General features: G+C 42.1%; 1 long non-coding RNA gene across 1 annotated transcript in view; it reads left to right on the top strand.

Moving 5' to 3' along the window:
• Positions 1 to 11,849, top strand: part of LINC02885 (long intergenic non-protein coding RNA 2885) — a 241,252-nt gene that overhangs the window by 51,211 nt on the left and 178,192 nt on the right. The window lies entirely within an intron of this gene.

The raw sequence follows: 11,849 nt of genomic DNA, 5'->3' as shown, positions 1-11,849 counted from the left end.
TCTCTTTTCTTGTAGACTCAGGGCATCTCCATGTGGACTAATTTGGGCTTCCTCACAGCATAGAGGCCTCGGGATGGTCAGACTTCTTACGTGGCAGCTCCAGTGCAAGTGATCCAGGGAACCAAGAGGAAACTGCCTGGCTTCTATGGCCCAGCCTGGAAGTCACAGAATATCACTTCCTCTTTATGCTGGTGACCAACCAATCATTAAGGTGGGCCCAGGTTCAAGGTGAGGAATAGAGAACCCACATCTTGATGAGAAAAAGATGAAAGAATTTGCAGACATGTCTTAAAACTACCACATTTCCCAGCTAGATATGAGCTCCATGGGGACAGGAACTTTGCTTTGTTCACCATGGTATCCCTGGAATCTAAAATAGTGCCTGTCGCCTAGTGAGTGCCCCCAAATATATACATTTTTTTTTCTTTTTTGAGATGGAATTTTGCTCATGTCACCCAGGCTGGAGTGCAATGGCGTGATCTTGGTTCATCGCAACCTCCGCCTCCCAGGTTCAAGAGATTCTCCTGCCTCAGCCTCCCGAGTAGATAGGATTACAGGCCCGTGCCACCATGCCTGGCTAATTTTGTATTTTTTTAAGTAGAGATGGGGTTTCTCCATGTCGGTCAGGCTGGTGTTGAACTCCGGACCTCAGATGATCCACCCTCCTCGGCCTCCCAAAGTGCTGGGATTATAGGCGTGAGCCGCCACACCCGGCCAAATATTTACTGAATCAATGAGACAGTTAAGACTGTGCTAAAGCCCCAAACTGAAAAGTACTTTTATCACCACAGTTATCAACAGTTCCAACAATCCATTGAACCAATTACTAAGCACAGAGAAGAAATGATACTAATTAAGCATGAGAAAACAAACTTTATTTAGAAGGCAAAATGCAGTATTACCTCCATAGACACAATCACCAGGGTCTTATCCTTGGGGTTCATGTCTTATTCATCTCTGTCTCTTTTAGAGCTGAGCACAGAGCCTGGTGCAAGACAAGTGAGCAGCAAATACAGTGAATGGGGTTTTAAAAAGAATGGCCAAGTATACTCTAGTCTTGAGATTATTTCATAGCCTCCTTATTAAAAAGTTAATAAAATTCCCACTTCTGGGTCCCTTGGCTCAGGGAAACAGGTGCACTGAAGAGAAATGTGTGAACTATCATTTATCAAACACCTGCCATGTGCCAAGGAATGTGCCAAGTGCTTTGTAGGTACAATGTGGTTTATTTTCCATAGTCTGCCATAAATTTGGGTACCATTATTATGTCTTTCATCCCACACCTTGTAGATGTTGAAAGTGAGGCTTAGAGAAGTTAATCACAGCCCATTTCCCATTAAGGCTATAAGTAGTAAGCAGTAGGGAAGGAGATAGTAGGGCTGGGAGAAGGGGGATTCTAAGGTTTATTTGGCTCCAAAGCCTGAGTTCATTGCCAGATTCCTTGCTGCCTCCTTAGGGCCTCAGGGCCTTCCCACAGCATGCATAGCTGAAGGCTGTTTCCCATCTCACCTGCACCTGGACTTTTAATATAGTTGGTCCATTAAGGAGTATTTTGGCCATTTGAGTTGATGTTTAGCAAAGACCAATTAGTGAACCATTACACCGACTGTCTGTTACTTTAAGATACTATTCAGGTGGGCATCTTCTTTATAAATGTTCTCATTATCAACTGCTTAGAGTAAATAATTTTGAAGGGGTGACAGATGATTCCAATACACTTGAACTTAGCGAATCTGATATCTGATCTTGGAGGAGTGCCTGGGGTTTATGTAAGTTGCCAGTACCCTGATGAGCTGGAGTTCATAGCCTATCTGCATTTTAGGATTGAGACGGAGTTCTTGGTCCTCTGGAGCCTGTGGGTAACCCTGAGAGTCACTTTTAAAGGCATTATTTCTCAGGAGGCAGTGGGTGGTACAGGAAGCTTGGGATGCGGATTCAAAGCCAGGGCTCCCTTTTCCTAGCTGTACAACCCTGGACCAGTGACTTAGTTTTTCTGAAGGTCTATTTCCCCATCTGTCAAATGGGGACCACAATACCTACCTTCCAGGCTGGATGAAGTGAGATAATAGGGAAATATTTATCAATCACCTATTATGTTTATGCCAGGAGCGGTTCTAGAGAATGGAAATTTGGTAGCCATAAAACCAAGTCCCTGATATCATGGAGTTTACATTGTAGGGGGGCTTAACATGAACATGGAAAACAAATGTAAAAATATCATTTTAAGTGGTATTAAGTCCCATGAGTATAAAGGAATCATGGTGGCGGGGGGCGGGGGGGCATGGTACAGGGGCAGTGGGAGGGCTGTTTACACAGCAGGGGTTGGGGATGGGGAGTTCTTTCTGGTATTTCAGCAGGGACTCAAGTTGTGTAAGAAAGGGAGCTGATTTCAGGCCGAGGAAAGAGGGAAGAGCTAGTGCAGTGACCTGAGGGAGGGGCCTCCTTCTCTAGTGGAGGAACCAGGAGGCCAATGTGACTGGAGAAGAATGACAGGGGAGGGGGAGAAAATGAGGTCAGAAGAGCAGGGCTGGGTCATGGGGGTCCCGGAGCTCGGGATGGGGTCTTGGAGTTAGATTCTACAAGATGGTGTAGGAAAAGTGCATGAGTTAATGGGTGCTCACAGGTCAGTTGAATAAATGACTCTTTGCCATCATCTGTGACACCCTCTGCTGGACAAGGAGCAGAGATAGAATAACTACACTCCCCATTCTTCAAGCTGCCTAGTTCCTTTTCCTCAGTTCCTACCTTCTAGATGTCATTCCTAAGAACTGAAGATTCTGAACATTTTGCTTGGTTCTGGCATCCCAGGCTAAAGTGCATCTGAAGAATTTCCTGGCTGATAAAAAGTATTTATTTTCCCTAACCAGATGCATTAAAAAAATAACAGAATGGAAAATGTCCTCTTTAATTAAGCTTTGTAATCCATTTCCTTTGTGGCTGAGAACAAATTTACCAAGCTTGCATTTGAGAGGTTGTCATTGCAGGGGAGTGAGCGGGGGTCTCAAGCTCAGAGAGAGTGGGGACAGCCTTGCTTTCATGCTGCAGACTCAGAGAACTTTCCAAACATAAGCACAAGCAGCCTCACCCAGCCCCATTTTATGCAGGTATACAAGGATGGCAGCTACAGTAGACAGGGACTTGCTATGTCCTTGGGTGCTCTTCTAGGCCTGAGGAAATAGAGGTCGATGGTTCTTTGCAAAGGGTTTCATCTATTCCTTACCATGCTGTGAGGCAGGGACCAGTTATTGTCCACATTTTGGAAAAAAAGGAAAATTGAATCTTGGAGTGGAAAAGTAAGTAACCCAAGGTCGTGCAACTCAGAAGCGGGTGGGCAAATGATGCTAGTACCGATGAACTTGGCTCAGCCAAACTTTAGTCAGGCTTCTCCTTCCTACAGGCTCCTAAACTTTGCTCATCCTTAAGTTTAAGCAAGCATCCAGGTGTAGAACAGCTTGTTCTAGGAGGCTGACCAGAAAGAGAAATCCAGTTAAATTCCCCCTTCATGTTATATGCTCCCCTCACCACCTGCCAGCCTCCCCCAAAGTCCCTGCCAGTTCTGCTTCCCCCTCCCTAGAAAAGAAAGCCCTATTTGGTTTGATTTTGAGATGCTTCAAAGACCCCAAAGTCACAGTGTTCTCCCCACTGTAATAGTCTCTCCTATCCTAAGTCAAGGTTGGTTTTTCATTTGACATGGGTGAGTTGTGATTTAAATCCAGAATTCTCTGAACTATTTAATTTATTCAAGGGTTAGAGTACTCTGAAACATTTACTCCTATATGGAATACTGTGACATATGGATGCATTTTCTTCTACAAAGCAAACTAGAAACAATATTGCCGATGATGTGGTCAGATTCAGATCTGACTATATTACGTGAAAGTTGGTCTTCAAGCCTAAAAAACATACATAAAGAATTTTAAAAACATCTCAATTTTCTATAAAAAGCATGTTTCTATTTGTTCATTTGCTTGTCTTTTGCCCACATAGACAAGCAGATGTATGATATTTTAAAGAAAAATTATGGGAAACAAACTTAAGTGTAAGAAGACTAATATGTATTTTTTTCCTGTGAAATATGGTATAATAACTTCATTTGAATTCAGCAAGTGTTCAGTAAAGAAACTGTCTTCTGAGCTAATTAAGCACAATTTCTGGGCTGGCAGAATTGCTTTAAGTGGTCAAGGGCACACAAATCAGAAACAATGGATCTGGGTTTGAGTCGAGGTTTTGCTGTTTGCTGGCTATGCAGCCTTGGTCAATTTCCTCAGTTTTTCTGTCTATAAAATAAGGATTAAAATAGCACTTTCCCCCATTTTCCTGTTGTGATGAGGCTGAAGTATACTGATGCATGAAGCATGATGCATTATGCTTGCTCAATAGAGTTTAATAAATATAAGAGAAAGAATCCACCCTGGGGAGAAGCACTGTTTATCTTTAAAGATGGTTTGCAGAGCAGGAGAGACATTCTGATAAGCAGTAATAACTCACAGTTCAAGTCTACCTGATTGCATAAAAATGTGTCTTTTGTCCCAATTTGCCCCATGGGTTGCTTCTTCCTACTCCAACTCTTAGCAAGTGTTTCCCAAGTTAATTGCATCAGTAGCTCCTCATGGAGGCTTCCTGCAGCTCTGGGGTCTTGGGTCCTTTAGGCTGTAGGTTACATTTACTTGTCGCCAGACACCTTCCCAGCGGCACAGCCAGGTGTAGGCATAGAGGCCAGCTGGGGCTAAGTCCGCTCTTGCACTGTTGGCTTCAGCTGTGCGCAGGCAAGCACTTGATGTGTGGACAAGTAAACCTGTTCTTGAGCAAGGAGCTCTAGAGACCCAAGAACAGGGGTTGTTGGGAAGATAAGGGGCTGCACTTGGGGCTGTAACATTAGCTTGAAGCAAATCACCCGGGTCAGACTGTGGTTGCATGAATGAATGAATGAGTCTGCTTAATACAACCCTCAATTTTAGCACTGGTCACAGGATGACGCATCCATTTATTCACCTGGTTGCGACAGTGTCACTGTATTTATTCCCGAGGGCTGCTGTACCCCAATATTGCAAATTGGATGGCTTACAACAATAGTTTATTCTCTCACAGTTCTGGAGGCTAGAAGTCCAAAATCAAGATGTTGGCAGGGCCATGCTCTCCCCAAAATCTCCGGGGGGGACCCCTCTTTGCTTTCTTCAGCTTCTGATGACTCTTGGCATTCCTTGGCTTGTGGCAGCATCACTCCAATCTTCACCTTCATTATCATATGGCTGTCTTCTCCCTGTGCCCCTCTTTTCTTATATGAACACTAGTCATAGTGCCTTAAGGGCCTACTCTACTCCGGGAACTAATTACATCTATAAAGACCCTATTTCCAAATAAAGTCACATTCACATGCATCAGGGGTTAGAACTGGAACATAGCTTTGTGGGGGACATAATTTAACCCGTAACAGTCACTGTTGGTGGCTGATCCCACTCCCATTCACAACGTCCTCTTCCAGGTACCTGATACTTAGGGGCAGACATATGGCACAGTTCTGACCACTCAGAGCTCAGAGGAGGTTTATGGGATGGGGCACCCAGGGAAGCATTACTTTCCCTGGTAACTAGGAAGAGACTTGACTGGCAAGCCTCCTTTTATCATTTTTCCTACTTCCGGTTTGGAATATGCTCATATTAGAGGCACAGCCATCATCTGGGGGCTAGGAGTGACATATGCAAGGAGAAAAGCCAACACACTAGTGATGGTAAAGAGAAAAGAGAGAAGGAACTCAGGTCCTTGAGCTCCTGAGTCTCCACTGTAGCCCCATCTGCCTTTGGGCTCATTGCTTTGGAAGCCAAATGAACTCCCATCTTTCAGTGTCATTGTTATGGGGTTCTGTTATTCTACAGCTAAATGCACACCTGATCAATACACATGGTTATATTTCCCTGATTATGAGAATGATGATAGCTAAATCAGAAAAACTACCATTCATTGAAACTCTCTTTGGAGGCATTGTATTAAATGCTTTACATGGATCATATAATTTAATAAATATCTCTGTAAGGTAGCACTGCTATTATTCCCATTTAACAGATGAGGAAACAGAGTCCTAGACAGGTTAAGCACAGATCGTGGTCACATAGTGAAAAAGTGACTGAAACAGGATTCAAGCACCAGTCTACTGGTTCTCAAGCTGGTGCTCCTACTGTATCGTATAGCCTCTTCCCAGGAAAACCTTGAGAAAAGAACAATAGCAATGATGACATTGCTCATTTATTGAGAACACACTATCCATTCAGTCACTTACTGAGTCAGGCAATGTGCTAATGCTTTACCTACAGAATCTCATGGTGAAGTCTTCAGAATGCAGGGGCTTAGCACTCCTTCCACAGCCCTCGGCACAAATGGCTCTGAATAGCTGAGTGATGCTGGGTTCATTTGAGCTGGACTCTACAGGACGAGTAGGAGTTTGATAGGTGAGGAAGAAGAAAAGGAACATTTCAGAGAGGGGAAGCCGCAGGGTCAATGAATGGTGCCTTGCCAGGGTTTGGTTATCATAAAAGGTTTGAGTGTGGCTAAGGTTGTTAGCTGTTTCCCAATATCCATTCTCTCCTTCTTTCTGTTAGAAATAGCACATCCCCAGCCAGGCGCGGTGGCTCACGCCTGTAATCCCAGCACTTTGGGAGGCAGAGGCAAGGCAGATCACGAGATCAGGAGTTCGAGACCAGCCTGGCCAATATGGTGAAACCTCATCTCCACTAAAAATACAAAAATTAGCCGGGTGTGGTGGTGCACACCTGAAGTCTCAGCTACTTGGCAGGCTGAGTCAGAAGAATCACTTGAACCCGGGAGGTGGAGGTTGCAGTGAGCTGAGATCACGCCACTGCACTCCAGCCTGGGTGACAGAGCGAGACTCCATCTCAAAGAAAAAAAAAAAAGAAAGAAAGAAATAGCACATCCCCAAGTTTTATCTAAGTACATGGCCACCCAGCTATAGACAACGTTTCTGAGATTCTCTGAGTTTGATTAAAGTCTCACCAATGGAATGTGTAACTTGCTGTTATTTCTTTAAGAAACAGCTTGCCTCCTACTTTACGTAGGCCAAAGTATGGGCATGGTAGTGACCCAGTTTTGATCACGGAGGTAAAGACAAAATACCCGGGGTTGATGTAGCAGGAAGATAGAAGGAACCTGGGCCCCTGAATGACTTCATGGAGCAGAGCTGCTCTGTCAGCTTGGACCTCTTATCTTTGTTAGATAAGAAAGAAATAAACTCTTTTCTTATTTAATCAGTTGAATTTTGGGGCTTCTTTGTTATAACAGATTAGTCTGTACATTAATGAATCTATTGGATCTTAACCTGGATCACATCTGGAGGAAGAAACACCTAGTTAATTCAGTCTAACTCTCAGGAGAAGACAGAAAATCGAGAGATGAGAAGAAGCTTGATTGGGGAGAAGAAGAAAAGCTGCAAGACCCTTAATTGTTTCTTTCACTTGTTAATTTACTAATTCAACAAATGTTGATTGAACACAGACTGGGGCAGCTACCTAAGCCATATTTTCTCCCCTATTTTTTAAATTTTATTTTGTTTTTAATTGACAAATAATAATTGTACATATTTATGCGGTACAGAAATGTTCTGATAGATGTATACATTTTGTAATGATCGAATTGGATTAATTAGCATATTTGCCCTCTCAAACATTTATCTTTCTTTGCAATGAGAACATTCAAAATCCTCTTTTCTAGCTATTTTAAAATATGCAATGCAGGCCAGGCGTGATGGCTCACTCCTGTAATCCCAGCACTTTGGGAGGCCTAGGCAGGCAGATCACTTGAGGCCAGGAGTTCGAGACCAGCCTGGCAAACATGGTGAAACCTCGTCTCTACTAAAAATACAAAAATTATCCAGGCGTGATGATGCATGCCTGTAATCCCAGCTACTTAAGAGGCTGAGGCAAGAGAATCGCTTGAAACTGGGAGCTGGAGGTTGCCGTGAGCTGAGAGCCGAGATTGCACCACTGCACTCTAGCCTGGGTGGCAGAGCGAGACTCCGCCTCAAAGAAAATAAATAAATAAATAAATAAATAAATAAATAATAAAAAAGTAAAATATGCAATGCAATGCAATATTATTAACTGTAGTCCCTCTACTGTGCAATAGAACACCAGAACTTATTTCTCTTAACTGTAACTTTGCACCTGTTGACCAACTTCTCCCCTTTCCCCTTTTACTCCTCCCCACCAGCATCTGGCAACCACCATTCTACTCTCTATTTCTATGAGTTTTGACTTTTTTAGCTCCTACATATTAGTGAGAGCATACGCTGTTTGTCTGTCCGTGCCTGGCTTCTTTTGCATAACATAATGTCCTCCAGGTTTATTTGCCACAAATGACAGGATTTCATTCCTTTTTATGGCTAAAGAGTATTCCATTGTGTATATATACCACATTTTTGTTATCTGTACATCTGTTGATGGACGATAGGTTGACTCCATATCTTGGCTGTTGTGAATACTGCTACAATAAATATAGGAGTGCAGATATCTCTTTGACATACTGATTTCATTTCCTTTGGATATATACCTAGGAATGAGAATTCTGGATCATATGGTAGTTCTATTTTTAATTTTCTGAGAAACCTCTATACTCTTTTCCATAATGGTTGAACTAATTTACATTTCCAGTGAGAGTGTTTAAAGGTTCCCATTTTTTCACATCCTTACCAGCATTTATTATTTTTTGTCTTTTTGATAATAGCCATTCATTTGAGTGAATTTTTGTATATGGTGATAGATAAGGGTCTGATTTCATTCTTCCACGTGTAGATATCCAGTTTTTCCCGCAGTATTTATTGAAGAGACTGTCCTTTCTTCATCATGTGTTCTTGGCATCTTTACAGAAAATAAGTTGACCATATATGCATGGATTTATTTCTGGACACTCTATTCTATTCCACTGGTCTGTATGTCTTTTTGTATTCCAGTGCCATGCTGTTTTGCTTATTGCAGCTTTCTAATATATTTTCAAATCAGGTAGTGTGATGCCTACAGCTTTGGTCTCCTTGCTCAAGATTGCTTTGGCTAGTCAGGGTCTTTTTTTGGTTTTATATTAATTTTAGATTTTTAAAAAATATTTCGGGGAAGAATGTCATTGATAATTTGATAGGAATTACATTGCATCTATAAATTGCTTTGGGTAGTGTGGACATTTTAATAATACTAATTCTTCCAATCCATGAACATGGCATGCCTTTTCATCTATTTGTGTCTTCTTTAATTTTTTCTTCAATGTTTTATAGTTTTCAGTGTAGAGATCTTTCACTTCCTTGGTTAAATTTATTTATAAGTTTTTTTTGGTAGCTATTATAAATGGGATTGTTGTCTTGATTTTTTTCAGATAGTGTTCTGTTAGTGTATAGAAATGTTATTGATTTTTGTATGTTGACACTGTGTCCTGCAACTTTACTGAATTTGTTTATGAGTTCCAACAATTTTTTAGTGGAGTCTGTAGGGTTTTCTATATACAAGATTATGTTGCCTACAAACAGAGGCAATTTAGCTTCTTCCTTTTCAATTTGAATGCTTTTTTTTTTCTCTTGTCTGTTTCTCTGGCTAGGACTTCTAGTACCATGATGAAGAGAACAAATAGACAAAAACCATACATGATCATTTCAATATAATTTATCTCACATTTCAATAGCTGCAGTAAAAGCATCTGACAAAATTCAACATCCCTTCATGATAGAAACTCTCAGCAAATTAGGAATAGAAAAAATGTGCTTCAACACAGTAAAAACCATATATGGCAAACCCAAGGCTGATGTACTGAACAGAGATAAGTTGAAAGCTTTTACTCTAAGATCTGGAGCAAGACAAGGATGCCCACTTTTGCCACTTCTATTAAACACAGGACTGCTCTATTTTCTTCATCTCATTTATCACTACTTAAAATTACATTATCTCTCTTGAGTGGAGTAGTATTTACCAGAAGGTAAATTTATTGCATTAGAGAAGGAAACGTTATCAAGTTTCGCTAGAGCTAGAAGAAATATAAAGTGGGAAGTCTGCAAATTCATGGGAACTGCTATAAATCATTATTGCCCCATGGAGAAACAGACAAAAAATAAGCAGATTTCAGCCCAGCAGAGGTCTATTTTCTGATGAGCAGAAGAGTAAGGTGAGTCAAGAACACAGCTGGGCTTTGATTGAATGAAGCAGAGGGTACAATGGGGATGGGGGTCTGATCTCCCACACTAAGTTGGTTAGGTACTGGGACCCATACAAATAATAATGAGAGACATCCTGTGCAAATGAAGTAAACAACATTGAAGACAGGACAACTCAAGATTGAGGGAGGAACCAAGAGGGGCTGTTCAACAGAATAAGGATGAGATCACAAAGGGATGAAACTGAGCGCTGGGTAGAAGAGATTGACCTAGAGCTTCTGGGTCTGTGTATACTTTTTATTTCTCTCACTATTTCACTTGCAACCAATTCTAAGCAGAGCAGTCAAGGCCAATGGAGTCTCCCCTGTTTACTCTGTTGCCCCGATTACATGACCAGACACCCCACAGAGAGCAAGGTGTGTGAGCCACAATTTATTTATTACTTGTTCAGTGTCTCCATGAGGGGAAGGAGTTGGTCTGTCTTGTTCACTGTGGCCTCCCCAGCACCTAGAACAATGCCTGGCACATAATAGGAGCTTCATAAATAACTTTTGAGTGAATGAATAAAGAAAGCAGACAAAGGAATAAAATAGTAGCCAATTTCAATGATTCAAAGAAAGAGATAGCTAGTTTGAGATGGAGAAAACAGAGGGAACCATCCTTTAGGAATACAGCCAGGGAAGTATGTTTATGATGAGGCTCAAGGGAGAGAAAGAGTTAGCTATGCTAAAAATAGGGAGGAAAGCATTTCAGGCAGAGGGAACCGAATGTGAAAGACCTCAATGTGGGAAAGAGTTTGGAATGTTTCAAGAACTAAAAGAAGGTTGGTCAGACTTCAAGGAGAGTGGGATGAACAGAGCTGGAAGAGGTCATCAGGGGATGGATCCTGTAGGGGCCTGGTGGGCATCATTAGGAGCTGAGATTTTATGAAGATTTGTCTCTACTCTAGGTCTAGGGAGACCTAATTCAATTTTGCTTTGAAGAAAGAATCCCAATTTCTGTGTAGAGAATGGATTGGAGGCAGGCAAGAGTGTAGGTGAGAGAGAATCAGTGGTTTACATGAGAAATGATGCTGGAATGGACTAAGGGTGTGGCCAGGCAATTGGAAAGAAGTGGGTAGATTTATTTGGAGCTTGCTGATGGATTGGATGTTGGAAGTGAGGGAGAGAGGAATCAAGGATGCTGTATCAGCTAGCTATTGCTGAGTCACAAATAACCCCCATATTAAGTGGCTTAAAACAAGTCATTTACTACAGATCATGCCTCTTGTGCATTGGTCGTGGACTGGCTGGGCTAAGGTGAGCTCCCTACTGACCTCGGCTGGACTCACTCATGCTTTTTTGGGTCAGCATGGGTGGGAGGAATGGGTGCCCTGCTTTCATCTGAGCTTATCTGGGCTAGCTAAGCTGAGGCAGCTCTGACCCCGTTGCCTCTCTTCCATCGTCTCTGGGATGAACGGGCATGTTCGTCTCATGGCACAAGAAGGAGCAAGCTCAATTACACAAGAGCCTTTCAGGACTCTGTGTTACATTTACTAGCACTCCACTGTCCAAAGAAAATCCCACAGAGATAAGGAATTATGCTCTAGCATAGTGGGAAGTACGGCACCCCATTTAATTGGCAAAAGGTGTGGATACCAGAAGGGGTGAAAAATTGAACCATTAATGCAGTCTACCACAGATGCCTCTCTGCTTCTGGCTAGTTTTTATTG

Source organism: Homo sapiens, chromosome 22, assembly GCF_000001405.40.
Source record: "Homo sapiens chromosome 22, GRCh38.p14 Primary Assembly".
In the NCBI taxonomy this organism is placed as follows: domain Eukaryota; kingdom Metazoa; phylum Chordata; class Mammalia; order Primates; family Hominidae; genus Homo; species Homo sapiens.
The sequence above is the reverse complement of the archived record's forward strand: the minus strand, read 5'-3'. Positions and strand labels throughout refer to the sequence as shown.